The 26207-nt window shown below is 53.9% G+C and overlaps 1 protein-coding gene across 8 annotated transcripts in view, besides 4 other annotated features; it reads right to left on the bottom strand.

Annotated features, from left to right (window-relative positions):
- Window positions 1–26207, bottom strand: part of GLI2 (GLI family zinc finger 2) — a 256786-nt gene that overhangs the window by 12017 nt on the left and 218562 nt on the right. For 4 of the 8 annotated variants that reach the window (NM_001371271.1, NM_005270.5, XM_011510971.3 and 1 more), the window contains 6 exons: window positions 25207–25392; window positions 11722–11923; window positions 10031–10244; window positions 8574–8696; window positions 5528–5713; window positions 2054–2203 (listed from right to left, as the gene is read on the bottom strand). In NM_001371271.1, coding sequence (NP_001358200.1) covers window positions 2054–2203; window positions 5528–5713; window positions 8574–8696; window positions 10031–10244; window positions 11722–11923; window positions 25207–25392 — 1061 coding nt within the window. The remainder of the gene's footprint in view (window positions 1–2053; window positions 2204–5527; window positions 5714–8573; window positions 8697–10030; window positions 10245–11721; window positions 11924–25206; window positions 25393–26207) is intronic. The other 4 variants (NM_001374353.1, NM_001374354.1, XM_047443947.1 and 1 more) reach the window with 1 other exon arrangement.
- Window positions 14668–15208: an enhancer, noted in NCBI's record as "H3K4me1 hESC enhancer chr2:121723005-121723545 (GRCh37/hg19 assembly coordinates)". NCBI's record gives its function as "activates a minimal SCP1, AML or CMV promoter by ChIP-STARR-seq in naive H9 embryonic stem cells {active_cell/tissue: H9 hESC(naive)}" and the evidence as "EXISTENCE:reporter gene assay evidence [ECO:0000049][PMID:30033119]".
- Window positions 15209–15750: an enhancer, noted in NCBI's record as "H3K4me1 hESC enhancer chr2:121722463-121723004 (GRCh37/hg19 assembly coordinates)". NCBI's record gives its function as "activates a minimal SCP1, AML or CMV promoter by ChIP-STARR-seq in naive H9 embryonic stem cells {active_cell/tissue: H9 hESC(naive)}" and the evidence as "EXISTENCE:reporter gene assay evidence [ECO:0000049][PMID:30033119]".
- Window positions 15751–16292: an enhancer, noted in NCBI's record as "H3K27ac-H3K4me1 hESC enhancer chr2:121721921-121722462 (GRCh37/hg19 assembly coordinates)". NCBI's record gives its function as "activates a minimal SCP1, AML or CMV promoter by ChIP-STARR-seq in primed H9 embryonic stem cells {active_cell/tissue: H9 hESC(primed)}" and the evidence as "EXISTENCE:reporter gene assay evidence [ECO:0000049][PMID:30033119]".
- Window positions 20233–20732: an enhancer, noted in NCBI's record as "H3K4me1 hESC enhancer chr2:121717481-121717980 (GRCh37/hg19 assembly coordinates)". NCBI's record gives its function as "activates a minimal SCP1, AML or CMV promoter by ChIP-STARR-seq in primed H9 embryonic stem cells {active_cell/tissue: H9 hESC(primed)}" and the evidence as "EXISTENCE:reporter gene assay evidence [ECO:0000049][PMID:30033119]".

Raw genomic sequence — 26207 nt, 5'->3', positions numbered from 1 at the left:
CCTCAAAATTAAGAACTTTGTGCTCTAAAAGAAAGTATCAAGGAAATGAAAAGAAAATCCAGAGAATGGGAGAATTATTTGCAAATCATATATCTGACAAGGGTCTAGTAACCAGATATATGAAAAATTCTTACAATTTAACAGCAAAAAGACAACCAGGTTTCAAAATGGGCAATATTTGGGTAGACAGTTCTCCAGAGAAGATACGCAAATGGCCAATAAGCACCTGAAAAGATGTTTAACATTATTAATCACTAATTAGGGAAGTGCTAATCAAAAACACAATAAAATACTACTTTATACCCACTAGGATATGGCTAGAATAAAAAAGACAGGTAACAACCAGTGTTGGTGAGGATTTGGAGAAATCAGAACCCTCATTCATTGTGGGTGGAAAGGTAAAATGGAGCAGCGTTTTTGGAAAACAGACTAGCAGTTCCTCAACTGCCATACGACTCACCAATTCCACTCCTAGTTACACATACCCAAGAGAAGTGAAAACGTTCTGTCCATATAAAAACATGAACGCACATGTTCATAGCAGCATTATTCATAATAGCCTCAAAGTGAATACAATGCAAATATCCATCAACTGATGAATGCATAAACAAAACATGGTCTATCCATACAATGGAGTATTATGCAGCCACAAAAAGAAAGAAAGTACGCGTGCATGCTACAACGCAGGTGAACCTTGCAAACGTGTTAACTGAAAGAAGCAAGACACAAATGCACATATTGTATGATTTCAGTTTTTATGAAATTTCCAGAACAGGCAAATCCATACAGACAGAAAGCAGATTAGTAATTGTCCAGGGCTGTGGGAAGGACAGAATTAGGAGGGGCTGTGGGAAGGACAGAATTAGGAGGGGCTGTGGGAAGGACAGAATTAGGAGTGGCTGCTAATGAGTACAGGGTATCTTTCTGGGGTGATGAAAATGTTCTGAAATTAACTAGTAGTGATTGTTGTACAAATCTGTGAATGTACTAAAAACAACTAAATTGCACATTTTCCGAAAAGGGTGAACTTTATGGTATGTCAGCTATTTCTCAATAAAAAAACTGACTTGCCAGCAAAGGTAGCATATTTCATTGGATCCTGGACACCACTGATTTTAAGACAGTCTGACTTCAGAGATATTAAGGTGAAAACAAAATGTATGTCTCAGAATCTATGAAACAAGAATTCACAAAAAGGAGTTCCCAGATGTTTCAGCTACAGCTGAAACCACGTGTGCATTTGTGGGGCAGCAGTTTCTGTGTGTTAAAAAAATAAGTCTCTCCAACTATAGTCATAAATCCTGTTGACCTTCTAAAGGAGACCATAGAAAAGGTCTTATCATTGAGCTCACTTAAAAAAAAAATAACTCAGCTGGGAGCTGTGGCTCAAGACGAATCCCAGCACTTTGGGAGGCTGATGCAGGCAGACTGCTTGAGCCCAGGAGTTCAAGAGCAACATGGCAAAACCCCATCTCTACAAAAGAATACAAAAATTAGCTGGGTTGGTGGCATGTACCTGTAGTCCCAGCTACTCAGGAGGCTGAGGTGGGAGGATTGCCTGAGCCCAGGAGGTGGAGGCTGCAATGAGCTGCCTGGGTAGCAAAGTGAGACTCTGTCTCAAAAAACAAACAAACAAAAAAACCCTCAACCATTTTAACCCATCATTGCTCAAGCTCTGAATCACCAATGATGTTTTTTTCTCTGCAGAGCACTATGGAGCTGTCCCTCTTCCCAGCGTCACCCAGCCAAGCAAACTGCAGGGTGCAGATATGCCTTTGGACTCACAATCACAGACACACCCACACATTTTTGCCATGCTTACCGAGATGCTCACACCCAGAGAGCAAGTCCATCAAGGTCTGGGACGGCACGAGGCGAGGGGCCTCCAGGACCCAAACAGGCAGGGTGGGAACAGGCTCCTGTCCCAGAGCCCCTGCTGTGGTCTGCCCCACCCAGGTGTGCCTGTGGCCAGCCACCTCCAAACATGATCCCCCCGGCCTGGCTGACAGGCCAGTCTTGATGCTGCGGCGGGGGTGGGGAGAAGGCCACTCACCGTGCACTTGTGGGGCTTCTCGCCCGTGTGTCGCCGCATGTGCACCACCAGCATGTACTGCGCCTTGAAGGGCTTCTGCTCCCGCGTGCAGGCCTGCCAGCGGCACACAAACTCCTTCTTCTCCCCGTGGATGTGCTCGTTGTTGATGTGCTGCCGGAGGGACATGCCCAGAAGAGGGTAAGCAGGGCCAGAGGCCCACAGACCACCCCCTGCTGTCAGCTGACCACCTGCACCGGCACCCCCCCAGCCCTCCCCGACCTGTGTGCAGACCATCCACCCTGCTGACCACACCTATTATGTTCAGACCGTGCTCCTCATTGCCCATCCCACCTACTATACGCAGACCACTGACCCAACAAGACCACCCCTACGAGCCGGGCCACGCCTCCTCATGAATCATCACTAGCTGCCCTTAAATGAAGGCCTACTGCGTGCCGCTTATCTGCCCTGCATTTTCCAATCAGTCCTCAAAGTGACCGTCTATATTGGGCAAAGCCATCCTGTGCACCGCAGCCTGGGCTCTGGTGTGATGACGCTCCCAGGCTGCAAACAGTAGGCACTAACCGCAGCGAGGCAAACGTGCCCGTAGTGGGTGCATGAGAAGCCTCTCCTAAGCTTGCCCCTATTGTTTCAGAGGTTTGTAAATAACATATTTTGTTTCAATAGAAAAATAACACATGCTTATCTCTATTTTTGGCATTGACCCATGAGATAATGGCTTTGTCCCCTTTCCACAAAGGCACAGAGAGTTCAGTGGCCTGCACAGGGCCCTGGCAGTCGGCGTGGTGGAGCCAGAACTGACCTTAATGGTGGGCTCTGGGCACTGTGTGAAGCTTATCCTGGGAGAAAACGGCCCCAGGCAAGTGAGTTGGGACAGCCAGCGCAGCACGACTAACCCTGCCGCGTATCTCGGGTAAGGCTGGGTTTACTTCCCCAGCCTGGTGGCGAGGCCAGGACACTCAGGTCTTAGAGGCCTCCCCTTCCTCCTCTGTTCTCAGTTTCCTCCCCCGTCTTCACTTCCTCCCAGCCCCCCTCCCACAACCTCTAGACCCACACTGTCTAATGCAGTGACCACTTGCCCCATGTGGGGCTCTTGCACACTTGAAATGTGGCTGGCCTGAGCTGGGATGGGCTAGAAGTGCAAACTACACACCAGTTTCAAAGACTTAGAATGGAAAAAAAAGAATATACAATATCTCAATAACTTTCTTTTCTATTGACTACCTGCTAAATGATATTTCAGATATATTGGGCTGGATAAAAAATATTAAAATTAACTTCACCTGTTTCTTTTTACTTTTAAATGCACTCCTAGGAAATGTAAATTACATGGATAGCTGGCATTTGTGGCCTGTAATATTGTTCTGCTGGACATTCTGCTGTGGAACTCTGCCACCAAAAGAGGCTGTCCCAAGAGCCAAGCATCAGGCACTGGCAGCACCTTGCCCCAGAAGACAGAAAACTGCCAGGCCCTCATGCCCTGTGCGACTCGCCCAACTGTCACGCGTACAGATGCCCCTGCTGGAGCATGTGAAATCTCCAGCGCTTTGAACTTCCAGGGAAATCTTATCATATTAGCCTCACTTTCCATTTTTAAAGCCTTTCAAATGATAAAAATGCTTCCTGACAATGGCTTTCATTTTTTTCTTATTGGTTTACTTAGCAACAAATTGTTAATAATCGACCAGGGGCTCCAGCTCGCCTGTGCGCCTGCTCCATCCATCTTTCCAGGGAGCAGAGAGAAACAGAGAGAGACAGACAGACAGAGCTGGGTGAAGGGGTCTGCTTTTTCCAGGGCCTGGTGGAGGTGGCCACCTATAGCTCCAGGACAGTCCAGGGCACAGGCAGAAGCCCCTGGCTAAAGCCCTCCTCCCAGTTTGGGGACCCTCCGCATTCATCTGAGGAATTCCGTGCCTGCTCTTTGGGGCTGACCCACTTATCACAGAGCACGTCTTTGACATCCTCATCTGCATGCTCTGGCTTTGGCCTTCCCCTGGCCTGAGAGACTGTCCCTCTCTCCTCCTTTCATCTAACTGATTTGTTCTGCAACTCACAGCTCCACGGTCCCTGCTCCATCTAGGGCTTGTTTACCCCAAAGAGGTGGTACAAGTTGAAAAATTAAGTTTGAGATCCAGAAGGGGTTAGATAAGACCCTGCTTCACCAGCTGCATTCGTTTGCTGGGAAATTCTGGCCTTCTGGGTGAGAACTGTGTTTGGGAGGACAAACTCCAACACAAAAGAAACCTACGGTATTTGTGAGCAAGTTGCATAAGTGGAAGAAGCAGAGGGAGTCGGCGTGTCCTAAATGCTAAGTTCACAGAGCTGGGGAGAAGCAAGCGCCTCTGGACAGCTTCTGAATATGAATCGGAGACGCGTGCATGTGTGTGTGTGCATGTGTGTGCACGTGCGTGTGTGTCTGCTCTTCCCAGCAATCGAGCTACTAATTTAGTGGGTTCATCTTTATAGACACTCACTCACCAAGGAGCATGTGCTGGGGAGTTGGGAGGTGGCTTTCTTGAATTTAAGTTCTTCTCTGGATGGAGAAGAGAGAACCACTCAGGGCTGGTGTGGGGAACAGGCAGGAGGAGGAAGGAGGGAGCTGCTAGGTGCGGAATGTCTGCAAGGCACTAAGTGCTGACAAACATGATTGACCCTCCTGTGGGGTAGCATCAACCCCCTTTATAGGAAACAAATGAAGCTCACAGAGGTGGAGTCACTTGCTCAGAACCACTCAGCTGGTTGTGGTGGGGACAGGTTTGGAGCCAGGTGTCTCCCGTGCCAAGCCTCTGCTCTGCACATTGCACACATCACCCCTAACTGCCATATAAGGGACGCTGCAGTATGAGAGTTTGGAATGAGGACCAAGAGGCATATCCTGAAGGTCTCGCCGGCTCCCATGGTCATCTCTAATCACCTGAGCTGTCAGTACTCAGGCACTGTTAAGCAACCTCCTCTCTGATCTGGGTGTAGACGCCCACCTGCACCCATATCCACTGGGTATCTGTGAATAGTCCCCAAAAGGAAAGGATCAACTCCTTCCTTCATGGGAGAAGCTTCTTTCACTTATTATTGTGTAGATACTGGCTGGTTTAACTAATCGTATTTCCCTCTTTGCACTGGCTATTAGGAATCTCAGAAAAAAAAAATGTGTATATAGAATATAGCTCAAAGCACTCGGTTTTTAATACTAACTCTATTCCTGGTTTCACTTTATTGTTCTCTTTTCCCTGACAGTCTCATTTACTTATTTTTTCTTTTAATTGTTTGTATTACATATGTATTGGAAGCCATCTTAAAAACAGGCAGGACACACATAAGTAATTATGCCTCCCACTTGCAGGGGATGTGGCCCAGGCATCTCTGGGGGTCTCTTCCTCCAGCCCCTTCTGTCTAGTAGAGGCCCTGGAAGGCTCAGCATCCTGCATGGCCTGGGCCGTGCCCCGGTTGGCGGGCTGCTGGGGTTCAAAAGCTTACATGCACCAGCTGCTCCTGGGTGTCGTACTCCTTGGTGCAGTCTTCCCAGTGGCAGTTGGTCTCATAGATGACCACCTCAGCCTCCTGCTTACAGTCATCCCTGTCCAGATCTTCCTTGAGGTCAGCCAGCTGCTCCTGGGAGAGGGGAAGGGCACACCCACATGAGCCGTGTCCAGACACCTGGCCCTGAAAAGAGGTCGCTGTTAGTCCCATGCATTCTGTGCCAAGGACCCTGGGCTGTTACAGGTGTGGATGCAAGTGTGTGTGTTACAGGTGTGTGTGCACACACACAACACATGCATGCAGACACACACACACACACACACACACTCATCAGCCTTTTTAGCTCCTTTCCTCAACTCAGCCCCGCCCACAGCTCTCCTTGTCAGATGGCCTGTCCTGGGGCCCTTCCTCCTTCCTCTCCAGTGCACACTTGTCTTCATCGAAGTGCTGTGGGGAACCAGTTTTCCCTGCCACAGCCCTAACGCATGGGCATCTGCATTCTTGTACGATAGGGAGGATCCGAGGCCCTCCCCATGAATACACAGTGAGCTCGAGGCAGCCTAGGTCTGGACTTGAGTCCCCTGACCACATTAGGGCCCATGTGGCCATTTTAATGAGGCGAAGGAAAGACCCCTGAGACATTCCTTGACCTGATCACAGGTACCTGAAATTCCTTCACCTGATCACAGGTCCCTGAAATTCCCGTCAAAAAGGACAAAGTCTTTTTCTCTCAAACTGGCAACAGACTGAGAATTAACCCACAAGACCATCCCTACCCTCACTGATGCTAACCAGGGGCACCCTCTGAGCAGAGAACATGAGGACAGGTAGGAGGTACCTGCCTGGGGTCGGGGCACAGGGAGAGGCTCATACTCCAGGTAGGGACGGAAAGTCCACGGAGGGCCTACAAGGGCTGTCAAGGACTCCCCAGTATTCCACTGGTCTGCTAGGAAGGCTGGGAGCAAAGCCAAGCAAAGAGGCAGATGTTACCAAGATTGCTTCGCACTTCAAACTCTCTCCAAAACCAGCAGGAAAATGTTGTCTTTCAGAATAGTCTCTGGGGAAAACATGTATAGTCAGGCTCAGGGGGATGAAGGACCTCGCCCCATACTCAAAAGGCCTAACCCCCACTGGCTCCGGGGACTCAATGAGTGGTACCATAGCTGCCCAGGTCACAATTTCAGTCCTAATGCTGAGTCCCTTTCTGGGAATGGAAGAAATTAGCCTCAGGACGCCCTGCTGTCAATGGAGACTCAAACTCCACCTGACTTTCCATAAGAGCTGCAAAGACCTCTTCCGAGAAGGGTTCCTGATTGTTTCTCAAAGGACCTTTCAACGAATCCACTTGTTCCCAACAGGAAAGCAACAACATGTCGTACAATAGCTCCAGGGGCTACATTGGGAGCAAGTCAAAGGAAGGTGTGGGAGCATTTCCTTTCCAGATCTTTAGCAATGGGATCGTCTGGGGGCTGTTGGGGTGAGACCATGGGGAGAGTGGACCAGAGGGCCTCCCATCACCCTCTCCACTCTTTGAGAAGACCTGGAAGTCAGCCATCCACCTTACAAATGAGTCAGGGAGTCCTTGGTCAGTGAATCGGGACACTGAGCGACGGGGGGACAACCTCCTCATGATAAACAGCTTTCCTTGCACTGACACGTGCGCAGAGCCAGGCTGGGCAGGCAGGAGGCCCTGTATGGCCGGCCAGGGTTGGAGGGCGGGCATAGGGCCCTACCGGCGTGTGGCCATGGGGCTCCCAGGTGCTCAGTGCCTGCCTGCCGGCCCTGTCCTTGCCTTTCTGGCGTGTTTATCTTCCCTGGATATGTGCCGTCCTCATCAATTTCATTGGCTCCCGATGATGGTCGGCCCCGTGGAAACCATGCATCGTGCTGAGACCGGCTTTGGTGTCAGCAAGGGGAGAAGAATTTGTCATCAACCTCTCTGCTTGCTTGACGATAACAGAAGCCAATATTTCATGAAAATTAAGTGCCCAGAGCATGCCTGATGGTTCACAGTTTTGATAAAGGATGCTCGGCAGATGCAGGGGAGACAGGGATAGGAGGCCCTGAGCATCCTTGGTGTCCAAGATGCGGCTTCTGTGGTAATGAATGAAGACTGGGCCACCATGAGAGGGCTTGGGGGACCAGGGGCTTACTTACCAGGTCAACAGGCACGGCATGCCCTTTACAAGACAGGCCCCTGCTCCCAGAGTGGGGGCTGCCCGCATGCTGTCTTGGAGCAGAAGAAATAAGTGGCAAAGTTTCCAAAAGGATCAGCACAGGGTCTGGGCCACGTGGTAGGCCTGCACTGGGCTGTGGGCTGCTCCGCTCTTCTCTCCCCGCTTGAACTTGTCCTGTCTTCCCCCCTCACCACGCCACTCACTGACTCAAATGTGCATTGAATCATTGGAAAATACTGTGTCAGTGACTGCACACTTGCACAAACCCTGGTGGCATGGAACCCAGTCAGGCACTTCTCCCATAGCGCCACCTCTCCAAAGCTTAGAGTGCAGACAGGGAGACAGGTGTGCACACAGCACATGCCCTGAAGTGACCCCTGAGCTAGGCTGGGTGTGTGGGCCTGGAGCTCAGTCCTATCACCCAGGAGAATCAGGAAGGGCTGAAGTGGCAGCGAAGGAGCCAGGGTGGGGTAGAGTTCCAAGAGCGACAGCAGCCTAGAAGGGCCTGGGCCATTCCGGGGACGTGAGCAACTCAACTAGGCTGTGGCTGGTGCTGTACACAGGTCAGGTGTGGCGAGAGAGAGACAGATGCAGCCTGAGACAAGAGGGATGGCTAGGCAGAAGTTCATTCATTCACTCATTCATTCATTCACCATGTGTGATGGGAATGTAGTATGTCCAGGGTGCTGGGAACACAGTGGTGAGAAAGTCACAGCTCAGCATTCCCACCCAGTCCTCCCTGGGTCACTCATTCATCCATGCAGGCAGCCAGCCAGCCATCCGTTCACCACCAAGGGTACAGCCCCAAGGCAGCCCACAAGCCTGGTCCTAGCTGGAGGAAGGTGGTGCGGCTGGCAGCAGGTTACCTGCGTCAGCGCCAGAGGGGAGGCCGGCCGCAGGCCCTCAGGCTCGGTCTTGACCTTGCTGCGCTTGTGAATGGCGACAGGGTTGACGGTGCTGCTGACGGCCGACTCACTGCTCTGCTTGTTCTGAGGAAGGGTGCAGAGGACAGTCTGTTACTCAGGGGCAGGGCAGGGATATCCCAAATTTTTTTGGACTTTAACTCTAGGATCTCTCCGCACAGACCATCTGGGCTAACCCTGTGTTTAAAGTATCAGAAATAGAGTCCCCAGCTCAGTCCTGCCAGGGGCACATGTCCTGCTACAGGAGAGCACCCAGACCTGGGCATGCCAACCCCCATCTCTCCATCACCGCCTCCCCAAGACTTCTGGGAAATGGGAAAGAGACCTTCTCTTTGGAAAATGCAGGGTGCCCTTGCTCCTGTTCTGACCAGGCTCAACTTCTCAGCCCTCCAGAGCAGGGGACACTGTGGGTCTGAGAACAGGGCCTGGCCAGCCCAGGGCATAGGGGGCCAGAGCCCAGTTCCTCAGGAGAAGGGGCTAGAGCTAAAGTATCAGGTGATGTTTCCAGAGCTGACAGCCACTGTCGTGGGGAGGCTCTGGGGAGCCACCAGGAGCCCTGGGGTGGAGAGGGAGGACATTCTGGAACAGAGGACACTTCTAGAGGACATGGTGTCCTGTCTTCCTTCCAAGGGTGTAGCCACATCCAGGCTTTGCCATTTGCTGGTGGGTGGCCTGGGGTGGTCCCTTCACCTCTGGCATTGTCGTTGTCAGTGCTCCCAGGATCAGAGCCTATGGGGGCTCTGCACACATGAGCTTGTTTGTATGCACAGTGACCCCACCTAGGCATCAGGAATCCCACTCTGCAGATAAGTTAGCTCAGGCTGCGAGAGGGAAAGAGATGTGCTGCTTTCAGGCAAGTTGGGATCCCAAAGATGGTCTGACTGATGCTAAGGCCTGTGCCCTTCCATGTCCTTATTGTAAAAGAACACTTCATTTGCCAAATAATAATGGCACCTAGGATGTGCCAGGCACTGTACTAGGATGCCCAGGCATGCTCAAGGCCCGTTGGAAGGGTCGAATGAGGCAGTGTGTGAAAGCCTGCTGCAAATGCACATTCTACAACGAAACTGCACAGTCTTATAATGATTCACTCACCCACCCATGCTATGTGCTGTGCATGGAGTGCCTCCATGGTGCCAGGCCCTGGGAATCGAGGCTTTCTCCATCTACTTATTATGCTTCTTGGACAGGAGACGGCAGAATCAAGAAGCTGGGAGCTTCCCATGGACTGAGCCCAGGTCTCACCCTTTCTGTAACGTGGCCTCTGCCCAGAAGGCACCCTAGCGGCCAGACGTAAATCCAGAGGCCCTCCACAAGTTCTTAGCATGAGCTGGCAGTGAACAACCCTCATGTGTCCAGATGAGTACCCAGTGGCCATCCTGGCCCCTGCACCCACCTACCTGGTTGGTGTCACTCAGACAGTTGCTGCTGCTGCTGAGCTGGGTGGGCGTGGCATTGATGGAGGTGAGGGCCATGGGCTGCTGGGCCAGGAAGGTGGGTGAGGGCTGGATCAGGGGTGGTGTGTGTCCAAAGGCTGACCCCAGACCCCTCTGCTGGCTCAGAATCTGCTGGTAGGCCACGGGGTTGATGGGGTGGGGGAAGGTGAAGGCTGGGCTGCAACAGAGAGCAGACAAGGAAGTGGGGGTGGGGGATCGGGAGCTCTCTTAGGCTGACACTTCCTGGACAGAGAGAACCTTGCCCAGGGGATAGGGATGAGCATGTTGCTAGCCCCACCATCACCGTGGCTTCCTCACTCAAGAACCAGCTGTGGCTTCCTACTGTCTGCCACTCACCTTCTGCGATCAGCTCCCAGGTTCTGCCCCAGGATGTAGACTTCACCCCTGGCAGGCTGGCTCCCAGCAGGGACCAGGCTCCAGCTCATCCCCACACCCTGGCCTCTCCACTGCTGTGATACCTAGACGCATGTCTGTATCGCTGCTCCCTGACTACGTGAAACCCATGAGGCCTCCGAATCCTGTTCCAATGCCCCCTCATCCAGGAATCTTGCCCTGAGCCCCCCAGCTTGCATTATTCTCCTCTTCTTACTGCACTTCTAGGCTCTGTCACACCACTTGCATAAGAGCCAACCTTCACACAGCAGGATACCAAGGAAAGATTGGTGACCCCTGTGGTTGGGCCGTAAAAGACATCGTGGCTTCCTCCAGCTTCCTCTCACATCATAGGCTGCAAGGTGGGCTGGGACCCGTCTGCCATGTTGTGAGGACACTCAAGCAGCCCTAAGCAGAGGCTCACAGATGAGGAACAAAGGACACTGCTGAGAGCGCTGTGAGGGGGCATTCTGGCCCAGTCAAGCCTTCGGCGGGATGAAGCACTGGCTGACAGCTTGACTGTGGCCACCTGAGAGAGCCGGAGCTCAGCCTGTCTCAAATTCCTGACCCTCAGAAATGGGGGGAGAGAACAATTGCTTGTGGTTTTAAACTGCTATGCGTTGGAGCAATTTGTTAGGCAGCAAAAGATAACAAATACACTTGTTATTCCTTCCATCTCCAGGTCGTTGGGACAAACTCTCCTGACATTCCTAACTCCTCCTGGCCTCTTCCGGAGGTGCTGGAGAGGCATGTGAGTTTCAGTCAAGCTGGCTGGGGTCTGAGTCCTCAGACAGACTAGAGCCGCACAGAAGGGAGAAGGGTGGCTGGTGTCAGTGAGGCTTGGGTGTGCCACCATGCGGCTACAGAGGGAGGCCTGCTGCCAGCCCAGAGGCTTGCTGAGAGCATGGGCCATGTCAATGTCACATTTTGTGTGGTCTCCAAGGTTGGCCAATACTTGGCTGCTCCACCAAATTCAGTGAAATACTAGGAAAACCATCTTTGACCTCAAACACCTTTGATTTCACATTTGAGTCATTCATGACAGGCCTGGTCCATGAAGATGTACTCAGATATGGGCTCATTTCAATTTGATCATTATTGGTTTTGAATTCATAAAAAAGGTGCAAGTATGTGGATTCACAAATGCCACAGGTCCTGTCTTTCTCCTCGGGTCAAAAGCGCCCACTGAAAAGCCAGCGCCTCCCCACCGGGCCCTCAGCCCAGCTCTGGTCCTCAGCTCTCTGCTTGCAGGCGGGGCTCACCTGAGGGCACCCGCTGACAGATGCCCGTAGGAACCGCTGGCCGCCGAGCTGCTTCGGGAGTTGTTGATGTAGGCCACTAGCGAGTTGGGTGAGGTGCGGATCATCCGCTGCAGGTCCAGGCTGGCGTCTGAGAGTGGGGAGATGGACAGCGCCCGCTTGCGGCTCAGGCGGGGCGTCACCCGCGGGCTGGAGAAACGGGACACTGTGGGATAGTCAACACAAGACAGGTCAGCATCACTGGGGATGGGGGAGGGGGTGACATGTGGGTGGGGGATAGGAAGAGCCTGCAAGGATGGTCTAATGGGAATCCTAGCTTTGCCGACTTTCCAGCTGTGGGCTCTTGGGCGAAGGATGTCACCTCTCGGCCTCAGTTTGTTGATCTGTAAAATGGACTGAGCAGCGCAGGGTGTGGTGAGGACTGGAGAAGTGCATGTAAGGTGTTTGGGCGAGTGAATATGAGCACTGAGCATAGTGTATTTACCACTGGGTGCAGAGACCAGGGCTGGAATCCAGCAATGCTTACCTCATGACAGGAGTGTGCACGAATCATAAGTGAGCAGTTCGGTGGCCTCTCACCAAGTTAGCCCACCTGGGAAGCCAGCCCCAGGTCAAGAAACAGTGCTTGGCCATTGTCCACAGGCCCCCTCCATCTTCCAGCCCAAGGGCAGCTGCTATCCTGGCTTCTAACACACAGCTTCTTGTTGCCTACTTTTGAGCTTTGTGTAAATGGAATTTTTAAATACTCTTTCATATCTGGCCTCCTTCATCCACATGGTCAGTTTGTAAGATTTCTCCATGCTATTGTGTGTGGCAGAAGCTTGCCTGTTCCCACTGCTATGGAGAATTCCATGGGGAAGAGAGGGAATGGAAGTAAGTGCTCCAAGGTCACAGGTCACGTTGTACCTGGAATCACCACTAAAGTGCCCCCTGATAGGGCATTTGCCAAGCAGAGGCCTGGATGGCGGCCCCCAGACTCTTCGCAATGTCTGGGCCTTTGGCTGTCTCTCCAGAGCCTACTGGGCAGCCTGCTGTAACAGGGCAGGGAGGACACGAGGACATGGCAGCGAGAGGCATCCTGACACAGGCAGGTGCTTCTGCGTACTGAGGTCCTCAGTTCTAAAGTCGCCCGAGGCTCTGGGAAGCTGTTGCTTTGAATGTGCACACCACATGCATGCAGGCACACATGTACGCAGGTGCACACATCACCCATGCATGCAAACACTTGTGTGCACCCACACGCAGACATGTGTACACATGCATATGCACACATATGTGTGGACACATGGCTATGCCCTCAGCCCTCACCAGCTGCTGTCGCACACCTACATAACTGTGGAAGGGAAGAGGGCTTGCCCCAGACAAGAGTACCCTGCACCCTAGAACCAAAGGCTCTTCCACTGTGGTTCCAGACTGCTCCCCATCACGGTGCCCCCATCAGGATTCTAGGTCTCTGCCCTGAACAAACGGTGGCCTAGAAATGGTCTGACAACACTGCTGGATGACTCTCCACAAGCCAAGCTTCCTGCCCTGTCCAGATCCCTCAGAGCCAGTCTCCTCTTTTTAAAGGGCTCTAATAGTGCTGACCACCAGGGCTGGCATGAGGTGTAAATTAGGCGAAGCGTGAGAAGCACCTGGCCCATGGTAGGGCACAGTAAATGCTTGGGCCTGTCCTTGACTTTCTGGACACCTGCATGGAGCAGCCTCTTCTCATGTCCCGCTGGCCCCTGCCCACCCATCCTTTCCAGGCCTCCGGGTTCCCCATGGGCTGGTGGTGTTGCCCATAAATGATGCTGGGGGTTGCTCAAGCACACTCATGTCTGTGCTTGGCTGTTCCCAGGCTTATGATAACTGCGTTCCTCCCTTCTGCCTGCTCAGACCTGCTGAGACCCCTCCTGGGTGCCCCCTCCTCCAGGCAGGCTGCCCTGACTGCAGGGTCTGGCTCCATGGGCCTCCTGCTCACAGTACACACAGCCTCTTGGCGGGTGCTCCCAAAGCTTTCCTGATGGCTTTGACCACTGACCTTAGGGCCACTCTGAATCATGCACGTGGCAGTTCCTTATGTCTCCACAGCTGCAGGAGCACCGAGGGCAGGGGGTGATGGCCTACGAGCCTCTGAGCCCCCCACTCCACACCTACCAGTCCCCAAGAAGGCTGTGTGAGGGCAGAGCCCGCACCCACCTACTGAACAAGCCGCAAGCCCTGGGATCCATGTTGGCCCCTCGAGGCAACCATGCCCGGCCCAGCCCCAAGCTTGGCTGCAACCCTGAGGAGACCTAGGGATCCCTGGGGAGGCTCTTTCCTGCCAGGCCACCAGGAGAAGCACCTCTCCAAGGCATAGAGAGGACAGAGGACATCCAGGACCATTGGGCCGAAAGGGGCTTCCAGGGTTTTCTCTCCTAACAGCCTCTTTCATGGGATGAGGGGAGTCTGAGGCCACAGAGGGGAGTAGACAGCCAGCAGCCTGGGATGAAGGGACTCTGGGTAGAGGGATGGAGACCTGGACTGGAACAGTGGCCTGCAGTGGGGTGAAGTGGGGGCTGCACACCGGGTACCCTGGGCTGGAGCCATAAGTCAGCTGCATGACTTGGGGCAAATTGTTTTACCTGTCACAGACTTGGGGTCTTCATCAATGACACCAGCATAAAACAAGTCCCTGCCAGCTCTGGGGTTGCTGTGACCCAGTGGGATGATGGATGGGGAGGTGGCCTGGGCTCTCCAGAGTGGCTACAGTTGAGATGGTCATGTGACCCAGTACTTGGTATACTTTATTTTCAACGAGAAGAGTTAAGTGATGTTAGGAAAGCTCCCAGTTGAAAAAAAAAGTGGAGTTAATCAGAACATTCTTTTCTTTTGACATCCTTGTCAGCTAAACTTTCTGCTTTCGCTGTTTATTCTATTGGGCTATGAAGACTGGGGCTTACAGATATTTTAGTAAGCAGAGCTACAGTGGGTACACAGAAGACGGTCCATAGTTGCTTCTGGGGATGCCCACTTGCTCTGACCCCACAGAGGGGCCAGGGCAGAGCAGGTAACTCACTCAGACAACTCCTTCTTTCTCTTACAGCAGGAAGGATCCTAGGTCACCTGCCTGAGGACAGAAAGAAGCAGGGAGGCCCATGGAGCAGGCTACCTCCCAGCCAGCTGTGAGGCTGCACTGCAAATGTGATCACCCACTCTAAATAGGGATCCTGGACGGCAAACAGGGGCATCCTGGGTGGAGTGTGCCCCTCTGCCGCAGCACCTGCATCCCGGCTGGAGTGTGCCCCTCTGCCGCAGCATCTGCATCCCGGCTGGAGTGTGCCCTTCTGCCGCAGCATCTGCATCCCGGCTGGAGCGTGCCCCTCTGCCGCAGCATCTGCATCCCGGCTGGAGTGTGCCCCTCTGCCGCAGCATCTGCATCCCGGCTGGAGTGTGCCCCTCTGCCGCAGCATCTGCATCCCGGCTGGAGTGTGCCCCTCTGCTGCACCACCTGCATCCCGGCTGGAGTGTGCCCCTCTGCTGCAGCACCTGCATCCTGGCTGGAGTGTGCCCCTCTGCTGCAGCATCTGCATCCCGGCTGGAGTGTGCCCCTTTGCTGCAGCATCTGCATCCTGGCTGGTGTATGCCCCTCTGTTACAGCATCTGCATCCCGGCTGGAGTGTGCCCCTCTGTTGCAGCATCTGCATCCTGGCTGGAGTGTGCCCCTCTGCTGCAGCATCTGCATCCTGGCTGGAGTGTGCCCCTCTGTTGCAGCATCTGCATCCTGGCTGGAGTGTGCCCCTCTGCTGCAGCATCTGCATCCTGGCTGGAGCGTGCTCCTCTGATGCAGTATCTGGATAAATGCCTGCTTCTGAATTCTTATGCAAATAATGACCCAGTGACAACCACCATTTAGTGACGCTTAGATCCACTGACTCATTTAACAGCTACCACCATCCTCCAAGCAAACCAGATAAGCAGCAAAGCAACTATGCTTGAGAGGTCAGTGACTTGCTCAAGGTCACAGAGCTACAGAGGCAGGATTTGAACCCAGGTCCAAAGAAGCCCTGATGTCTGGACTTTCTAATGACTCTGTGTCTTCTCTGTCCATCTTCAGAGAGGTCAGCAGAGGCCCAGGGCCAGGCGGACGTCCCGTCCCACAAACACTTTTCGACCTCCCACTTTCAGTGGCTCTGAAGAGTGAGCCTTCTCAGAGCCAGCTGCCTCCTCGTCCTCTCCTCCTGTCTGCAAGGCAGCTCCAGTTTGGCACAGCCAGCCCCACACTCCTGCCCTGTGCCTGGACCAGCTCTTCCTACAGCACGTGCCTGCTACTTGCGCAGTGGCAAAGCGGGAGACCCGGGAGTCGGCCTTCCCTCCTCCCCTCCACCACAATGGAGCCCACTTACGTGTGGGCTCGTGAACGCCTCTCAAAATCTCTCCTTTCAAACTCCACCCCTAGCACAGCCCACCACTTGCTTGGATCATTCTGGGGCCCTCAGCTAACAGCTGTCCAATCCACAGTGCTCACTGCAAAGACAGATTTTCAACTTGGAAATAAGATCATGTCCCTGCCCTCTCCCCAAAACTTTCCAAAAATCCCCACTGCTGTTACAAAGAAGGCCTAGGCGGTGGCCCTGTGGAATCTCCTCACTCCAGCCACCAGGTCTCCTTCCAGCCCCTCCTCCATAACACCTGCTCAGGGACTTGCACGTGCAGCTTCCTCTGCCTGCTCAGACCTCAGCCGAGTCATCACCTCCCTTGGGATGCCTTCCCTGACCTCCTGGAGTTGGGCAGATCTTCCCTATGCTCAGGCCTCTCTCTCCAAACAAGGGTGGGGGTGAGCTTTCATCCACTGTGTGGTTATCTGCTTGCTCCTGTCTTTCTCACCATGCATTAGGAGCCCAAATCCTTTTTCCCACCTGACCATCCCCAACACTCGAATACAGGTGGCACAGCCATGAGCCCAGTGGGAGGTGCCAAGGGCTGACCCATGGCACAGACAGGATGTGTTGAGAAAGAACAGATTCACAGTCACCTAAACACAGCACTTACTCAATGCTATCATCGCATGCGCTAGGACTCCTTCAAACTTTAAAGTGTTAAGTAATTTAATCTTCACGACTGTCCCATAAAGAAGGGGCTGTTATGCTCATTTTACAGAAGACAAAACAGGACACTAAGTAACTTGCCCAAGGTACAGGGACACCAAAACCACCTGCCACAGGGCCTATGCCCAGGGTGCAGAGGAGGAGAGGTGTCTCAGGGGGCAGGGAGTATGACGGCAGGAAGGCACAGGGAGGGCCCCCTGCATGGGAGGGGGGCCCCAGGTGGAGACACACACACACACCCCAGGTGGACACACACACACCCAGGTGGACACATACACACACACCCCAGGTGGACACACACACAAACACCCCAGGTGGACACATACACACACACCCCAGGTGGAGACACACACCCCAGGTGGAGACACATACCCCAGGTGGATGCGCGTGCGCGCACACACACACACACACAAGATGCAGAGGCACACAGCCTCTGCCACTGTCCCTGTCAAGCCTGTCACTTTGTGGCTTCCTTGGAGCACATTTACTTAGCTTTCCTGAGCCTCTCTTTCCCCATCTGTACAATCAGGGCAGTGTGGCTTGCTTTGCAGGGCTGTTGTGAAGACACACATAGAATGCCAAGAATAGTGCCTAAAACCCAGCGGGCATTCCAAAATGAAATTGCTAATGAATGTGGCTTCTTCAAGGGCCAGGAGGACTGTTCCAAGGGGCAGGGTGAGCCTCCAGTCAATAATGGAGTGAAGGGCAGCAAGTCTAGGAAAGATGATTGGGCCACTCAGCAACACAGCTGTCATTAGACATTCACTCATCGGCTTGCATTCGGCGCCCTCTCAGCTTCTGGGTTTTTATTTACTGAGTCCACTCCTTGTCAATCCTCGCTTCAAAGGAAACTCAAAGAAAGATGCAGGAGTGAATTCTCTGAAAGGCTCCTATTACTTACAAACTGAGTGGCAAATACGGTAATGTGAGGGGAAAAACCACCTAACATGATATAAAGTAAGAAACACACACATCTTCGTAACACATTTTTTAAAAAAGAATCTGCCGCTAATATTTGGATTCCCACCCTCTCATGTGCCCCTAACAAGAGGAAACAGGCCAAATCTGACAGTGATATTCATCTCTGTTATCCCCGCCTCTCATGGGAAATATGTTTATTAATGCGCCTCTTCCCTTGATAAATTACTAAATAGAAAGAAAAGCCTGGCACTCATTTCCCATGGTTTCTCCTGTGATTTATGACCGGGAACATGGAGTATTCATCTGTGGAGGCGCCTGTTTTAATGCCGGTCGGCCACGGGTGACTGGCCACCTGCCCACCCTCACCTGGGCGGACGCCAACACCACCTGCCTCTGGACCTTGCTTCACCCACTAGCGCTTTCTGTTGCTCATTCACATGTTTATTCATTGATCCATCAGCCCCTCGTGTAGTGCTGAGAGCACACCAGGCATTGATTGGACATCATGGGGACTCTGGGCAGGGAAGCCTCTGACCCTGTCCTCATGGAGCTCACCATGTAGGAGAGAGATGAAGACAGTACTCCGAGGCACCAGGCAGGATTTGCAAGGTGCCATCTAAGCAGAATTATTCTAGAGAATCCCAAGGTGCTCAGGAGGGAGATCATTGTTTTCCCTGAGGCAGTAGGAAGGGCAGGAGATGCAAGAACAGGCCCTGGACTCAGGCAGACCCAGGTTCCAACCCTGCTTGCACACTCTGAACTGGGTAGCTTTGAGCCAATCACTGGTTGTCTCATGCAGAAGATGGGCTACCAGCACCCACCCCAGGGATGCTATGGGCTGACAACCAACATATCATCTATACCTGTGGGTGGACTTGCATGGAATCGGGGCTGGGGATCCCCCCACGGCCTGTGTGCCCAGGAGCCTGGGCTGAGGGGCAGGAGGAAAGAGCATCATCCTGGCACCTGGTCCCAGGAGCCTTCTCTGTGCCAGATGCCATCCTCAGCCCGGGGCTGGGTTATTTTAGGTTTGATGGAGACAGAGACAGGAACATCCTCCTCAGACAGGGATTAGGTTTTCCATTTCAGGAAAAAATACAAGGCCAGCAGGATGCAGCCTGGTGGTGGGGCTCGGGTACCCTGAATCCTCACTGGCTAAGATGTGTTCCCTGCATAGCCCAACTCCCTCACCCAGATATTTTCTGGCTTGCCGAGGAGATGCTCTAAGGAAATCTGACCTGAGGACCTTAATGCCCCCCACACCTAGCCATCCACAGCCCTCTCACCCCTCTGATGGGGGAGTAGCAAGCGCCTGGGCCGTGGAGCAGCGAGGCTCAGAGTTGCCAGGACCACGGCCTAGCTAAGTGATGAACACAGAGAAACAGGCTGTGCTGCAGGCTCCTGTGAAGCGGCTTCGTGAAGCTGGTGTGGCGGGACAGTCTGTGTGGCTTTACCAGATGGCCCATAGACACCGCTTAGCCCGTGCCTGTACACAGCAGCTCCACCATCTCACGCAGGGACCTGCAATGTGGCTTCCTTTGCCTCGGTTCCCCTTCCTGTCTCGGAAAGGGATCCCTGTCTGACTTGGGCCTCTGGCAGCCCCTCTACCAGCTCTTCCTGCCTCTCTGGGTTTGATCAATGTAATTGGTTTCTGAAAACCCCCCGGATCCACAGGCAGCATAAAGAACAGGCGTCAGAATGGAGGTGACATCCGAGCCAAATTAGTGTCAATATGACAATAAAATGCATGGCTTGGAGGCAGTATGAGCAGTAAACAGACAACATTTCAGTCGGAAACATCTCAATCTTCTCAATGTGGTGGAGGGGGAGGGGGTGGCTGTTCTGTCGTTAAATCACCAATATTCAACAGCATAACATGAGAAAATTCCATTTTAGGGCCCGGGTGACAACCAGTGAATTCTCCGCTCTCCAGGGAGCCGCTCAGCAGAATGATGACCTCGGTTCCCTGACTGGTTCTCTATCACCTTCCCACACAGCAGCGCTCCTGTCTTCCTGCTGTAAATCAGGACCCCTTTAAAAACAAGAGGAAATGGGCCTTCACCCACCACTGGGAGACCAGGGAGGGTGGGTTTTCATCAGAGCCTGGGAAATCCCTCTGTCCTGCCGGCACCCTGGCCTCAGTGCCCTGGGAGGAACGCAGGGCTTGGCTTTCCAATCCCACAAGAGCCCCGTAGAGGCCTCTCTAGCTTCTGGCCTTTCTTCCACCACTGCAGTGTGTTCCCAAATGTAGGGCCACACATGGCCCAGATGAGGTTACTTTAGGTTTGATGGAGACAGAGACAGGAACATCCTCTTCAGACAGGGATTAGGTTTTCCATTTCAGAAAAAATACAAAGTTCCATTTGAAGAACCATTTATTTAACCCCAAAAGGTGAGTCTGTTAAAAAATATTACTAAATACACAATTGTGCAGGTGGCACTCAGCTAAGGTAAAAACTGGGCTGGTGGTTTGCAAACCGGTGTACTGGGGACAAGGCCCTGCAGGATGAGGACCCACATGGAGTTCCCACCCACCTCTCCCTGCTCGCCCTCTTGCCTGGCAGAGCCCTCTCCATGCCTTGGCTGGACATTCAAAACCTCTGGAAAGTTCTCTCCCCTACAGTGCTCCCTCCTCTGGGACCATGAATGAAGGTGCTGAGAAAGGAGGCTGGGGTATGAGGGGCGTCAGGTCGGGACAGGCATTCTTGGTCCCGCCCAGGAACTCACACAGGGCTGCGCTGGAGCTCAGGCACCAGGAAGGCAGGGCTTGTGTGCTGCTCATGATGCGTTGCGTCCCTAGACCTAGAACCGAGCCTGGTAAATAGAAGGTGCCCAATAAACACCTGCCGAATCAACCAGCGTGTGTGCATGAGACACAACGACAGAGAAAGGCAGAGAGAGAAGGCCTGTTCTCCTTGGCTGTCCATGAGCTCTCCAGGCCCCCTGCGCCTGCACAGAGCTCACATGCTCAAGATGATGTGTATGGGGGCTTCCTGGTGTGAACACACATTCCTCAGAGAGAGCCAGGCCCCTTCCACAGGTCTCCTGAGCTGCACTGCTGGCGCCAGGGATGGCCCACACAATTTTCTCAGTGAGGATTTGAGCAAAAAGAAACCTAGTGGAAACGCTCATTCACATTCTCTGCTGTGTGGTCTGGAGCTTTCCGGGAGGGACTGGCACAGACCCATGGAGCAGGCACCCACCGAAAACACCTCCCCAGCTCCCATGGTTCACGGGAGGGGAGGGGCCGGGGGACACCCCACAGACAGGTCCAGCCCGAGCCGCCTGGCTGAGAGCCCAGGTGTTGTGTTCAGCGTCTCTTAGAGACATACGTGAGTAACCGTCCACACAGGCCTCGGAGCTAAGTGGAAGTGCGGAAAGCATTTTTAAAAGGTGAAGCGAAGGTTCTGGTTCTAGTTGAAACTGGTTTTGGAAAAAATGTATTAAGTAGCAATAAAAATAGGAGATAATCCTGGACTACTCTGATTTTCTTGGATTGTAACTGACTGGGAACAAAGGGAAAGAAGGCATCTGCTCCTGAAATCCATGGATAAGAAAAATGCTCCCACCCCCACCCCATACTGGAGCTGGAGAAACTGATATCCCTCCTCAGGTGGACTCTGGAATCTGGTGATGCTTCCCCGTTACCTCCATGTCCTGAAGCCAGATGTGTTCCCAAGGCGGAGGTGGAGAAGGCACAGCGGGTGGGGTGTGATGAGTTAACCAGCAGCTGCTGGAGGGCTGGGAGCTCTCGCGCCCACTGCTGAGCTCACCTCTGCACTCCTCTGCTGCTTCCCAGAGATGCTCAGCCCCCGGGGCTGCCAAATGCTGAGTGCCCGGAAGGCAAAGTTGCTCCCCAGCCCCTTCCAGTCCCCTGTGAGCCAACAGCTACATTCCTCGAGTGCTTCTTTCCTTAGCTGGAGCGCATCTTTCCATTCCAGGGTCTTTTCTAAGTGCCATTCACTCATTCACTCACTCACCCAACAAACACAGAGGACCTGCTCCTTGCCAGATGTGCTCCCAGACCTGACAGGGCGGGCCATCGGCCATACGTAAGGAGAAGTCCCAGCCAGTTCCAGTTGGGGGCGCCTTGGGTCCCGCTAGTGCAGTGGAGCTAGTTGGTGGCTTGAAAGGCCTGGGGCTGGATTCTTGTGGGGTCTCAGGAGAAGGCCTAGCGCACCGTGCACAGGACTCTGTGCAGGAATGAGCTCAGGGAGGTATCTGGGGACCTGCATGTGGGGCAGTGCATGGCAAGACCAGTGTGCAGTGGAGAGAGATGAGCTGGAGAGGAAGGCCTCTGGACGGGGGTTCTAAAGTCTGGATTTTATCCTGAGGGGGCTAGAAGTGGCAGGGGCTGAGCGCAGGATGGCGGAGAGGATAAAGATGGGGATGCTGGATGAGCAGCAGCCATGGAGCAGTGCTACGAGGGCGATATGTCACTGTCTGGCCCGGGAGGGGTGACACGCCACTCTTGGAGGCCTGAGGGACAGGATGGGATGGATGGGAGATGGCAAGGAAAAGGTCTGGGAGAACCTGGGGCCTGGGCTTAGGCAGCAGGTGGACAGAGCTGCCTACAATGAAGATACAGAATCCTGCAAGAGTGAGTGGATTTAAAGAGGGAAAGATATACTGGTGGAAAGAGACCTGCACCAGCATTATTCCAGCACCTGCTAGATGCCAGGCACTGGGCCAGGCTCACATGTGCCATCTCAGTCAATGTGTTTAATCCACACAGCTCGCAGGGCTTGGGATTGCCACTCCACACCCCTTCAGTCCTGTCACCACCTCTGAGCCCAGCTACCACAGGGAGGACACCGTGCAGCCAGGCCTGACCCAGGCCTGCCCTGGAGCTCGCTGTACTACTTCTCCCCTCTGGCTCCGGCCCAGCTGCTCTGGGCTGAGCTCAAGTCCACCTGGCCCGGCTGGCCCTCCCTTGGGCCAGGGCTCATGGTTGGTCAGGTGCATGTGCTGCTGAAAACTGCAGCCCAGGGAAGGGCAGATGGTGCTGGTAACAAACAGAGCAAGGCCTGGGTCAAGCCGCTAGATGCTGGGAGCCCATTTGCTCATCTTAAAGTAAGGAGCATATTTCTAGCCTCAGAAGGTGGCTAAGGGAATTACATGGAAGAATGTGTTTAAAAGCACAGAACAGAGGCAGTCTGCATTCCAATTCACTGTCTCTCACGTGTGCACGTACACACACGTGCACACACAGACGCTCATGCTGAAAATCACTGGATGACTCCCGGCTGCCTGGCTTAGCCTTTCCTGCCCTGTGGGGACACCTGCCTCATCTCACCTCTCTTGGCCGTGGTTTCTCTGCCTCGTCCACTTTCCTATTGGCCTGGTGCCACCCTCAGGCCCTTGGAAGAAGGGTCCTGCTTGCAGGAAGCTGACATTCGGGTGTGGCAATTTGCACATGATCCTTCATGCACTCGGTTGCTGCTGTTTGGTTTCTAATATTGGCAAGGAGCGTGTCTAGCACACAACTTTCTCTCAGTATCTCTGACACCTCACTGTGGCTTGTGGGAGCACCGTGTAGGGCTGCTGAGAGGAGAGGGGAACAGAGCACATGGATGTGTGTGTACTCAGAGGGACGTCAATGTCCTACAGAGCTGACAGGTGTTGTTGAACATCTGGATGGTGTGCTTAATTCTGGACTAAACACCATGCTGGGAAAGGCAAGGAAGAACGGGACAGACACAGGGACCAAATTCTGGTGGCATCACTGAGGCATGTTATGGCCTCCCACCAGGGCCTGGCGAGGACCATATCCATGAGGGGCCAGCCTCGGAGGTTGGCCGCCCTCTTCTCAGCAAAACTTTTCCTGGGAAGCAGGAGATGTTCAAGATAGCTGAGGAGCAATGTGAGGTGGTTGCTGTAAGTATGAGGTGGGCCAGGCAAAGAGTGAAGGAGCAGCCAGAGGAGGGAGCTGTCCCAGTGACTGAGGGGGGCAGGGGAAAGGGAAGGAGGAGGCTTCCAGAGAGACTTCCTGGAGGAGGCGAGATGTCAGCCAGGCCTTAGAGAAGTGAAGGGCTCCCCTGGAACAGAGCCCTGGGGGCGGGTCGGGGTGAGCAAGGCAGCAGCCCACCCTGAGTCTCATGGCCCCGCCTGGTCCCACATGATTTCCCACCAGCCCACCCCAACCTGCTACAGGCTGCACGGCCCTGCAGGCACCAGGGCTGCCCCTGCAGGACGGTCTCCCTGCAGGCTCCTGTCTCCCTGCCGTGGGCTATCAGGGAGTGAAAACGCCACCCCAGGCAGGGCTCCGGGAGGCTGGCTCTGCAGGAGGTGCCTGCCTGTTCCCTGTGGTGGCTTCCAGCTTTACTGGCTGCCCTGCCTCCCTGTGTGCCGCTGGCCAGGGCTCCAGGACCTGCAGGCGGAGTGGCGCTGACTGGGGGATGGGAGGGGGTGCTGAGCCTTCCACTCCCTCCACTATTCCTTGAGACGGGCTCCTTGCTGACCGCAGGCTCATGGTCAGAGGGTCACAGGTGTCCCTGTGAAAGCAGCTGTGAGGATGGCATTTGGAGGGTGGGAAGGACTTCGTGTCTAACAGGCACCAAAAGCTTCATCTACCCAGGATACCTGACTTCCCTCCCTTCCATGAGGGCCCCACCTATAGCCTCCCAGCTCAGTTACTACTCCATCCTTCAAATGCTCAGGCCCGAGACCCTGAGGTCAACTTCAACTCCCTTCTTTCTTTCAACTCTATATTCCAGCTGGGAGCACATCCTGTGGTTCTACCTTCAAGGTCTTCCCAAGACCTGGCCCCTTCTCCCCACCTCTACCAACTGGACCTCCTGCCTCCGTCTTGCCCCCAAATCAATTCTCACATCAGCACGGAAGGAGATTCCTTCTGTGAGTCAGTCAGCTCTCTTTTCTCCTCTGCCCAGCCTCATCTCCAGTGAAAGCCAGTCTCTTCTGAGGTGCACTGGCTGGCAAGACCCCACCTGGAAACTCTGGCCTCACCCCCACTCCCACCCCTCACTGCCAGCACTGGCTCCTGGCTATTTCTTGAGCTTGGCAGGCCCACTGCTGCCTCAGGCCCTTTGCACTGCAGTTTCCTCTGCCTGGAGCACTCGCCCCCCAGATTTCAACTTCCCAGTGAGGCTTCCTCTGACTTCCCCATTCCAAACTGCACCCCACTCACCCAGTGCTCGCTCCCCCCGCCCCTGCTTTGTTTCCCTGGTCCATTTATAATTGGCTACTTTCATACGTAATTCCTAGAGCTACTTGGCATCTGTTTCTCCCCATTGCACTGTAAGTTCCAGCTTTGTTTGCTGTGGTGTCTGCGATGCTTACAACGCCTCCTGGCCTGTGGTGACTCAGTAAGTGTTGTCCAAAGATTCAGTGCCTGTGGACAGCCATCCTGGAAGGCATTGGGGTACAGCCCGACCTCTCCTTAAGGGTCCTTGTCCCCAAAAGAAACAGCGAGTGACCTTCTCAGCCTCAAGAGGAGATCTGCTAGCCCCATCCTCAGCCCCTGGGGGCCAGCACTCACCGTCCACGGGGTTGAGGTAGTCGTGGAGATGGGGTGCGCTGGCAGCGCCCCCGCTCTGCATCAGCAGGTCCCCGTAGGGCGCGGGGTGGCCTGCCACGAGGGTCATCTGGTGGTAATAGTCTGAGGGGGTGGTGCCTGGAGCAGGAAGGCCAAACAGTCCCCTCTCCTTAAGGTGCTCCTGGGCCACTGTGGGCAGAGGGGAGAGAAAGAAGCCGTCAGAACCTGGCACTGGCTGTGCCTTCTCCTGCCAAAAAAAAAAAAAAAAAAAAAAAAAAAAGGCAGAGAGAAATGCACACCTGGTGTCGGGGTTTCTCTCCTCGGCATTTTCCCCCACTGCCCCACTGTTTGCACTGTGCTGGGCCTGGGCTTGGCCAGCACGAGCTGCGGTGTTGCTGCTGAAGGAGGCCAGACCCCGACCTCTGTACTCCACCACTTCATTAGACTCATAAACAATCTCTCCCTACTCTGCCTCCATGCCCCTCAGAATCCCGGAGCCCCATGCCAACAGGATCCATAGTCCAGCAGAGTCTTCAAAGTTAAAAGAAGGTGCAAACAGAGGCACTTCAGCGGCACGCGGCTGGGCCAGGTCAGTCTGTGCCTGAACATTCAGGGTGAGATCGCTGCCGGGGCGCCAGGCCTGGCCAGATAAAGCTCCTGGCCTGCACACATCCTTATCCCTGCAGCGCAGAGCCTCGGGGCTGTCTGCTTCAACCCTGAGGTCAGCCCTGCCCAGGTCTTAGGAAAGATGCAGCGAGGATGAAATTCAGAGCATCTGAGGGAGGCTGGCCCTCAGCAGGGTGGTGTCAGGAAACAAATGGGAGCTTGGAAACCTAGCACCCCCATCAAGAGTCCACAGGTGTGCAAAGAGGGCAGTCTGAATCTAGGAAGCAAGCTCCTAGCCACTGTGCACTACGGCCTCTCTGTTAGCAGTCTCGACAAATTCCAAAAGAGCTCTCTTATGCACTTGGCAGAGAGAGGAGACCAGGCCATGGAAGCTGCCG

This window comes from Homo sapiens, chromosome 2 (assembly GCF_000001405.40).
Source record: "Homo sapiens chromosome 2, GRCh38.p14 Primary Assembly".
NCBI classification, from domain to species: Eukaryota; Metazoa; Chordata; class Mammalia; order Primates; family Hominidae; genus Homo; species Homo sapiens.
Note: the sequence above shows the minus strand (reverse complement) of the source record. Positions and strands in the feature narration are given on the sequence as shown.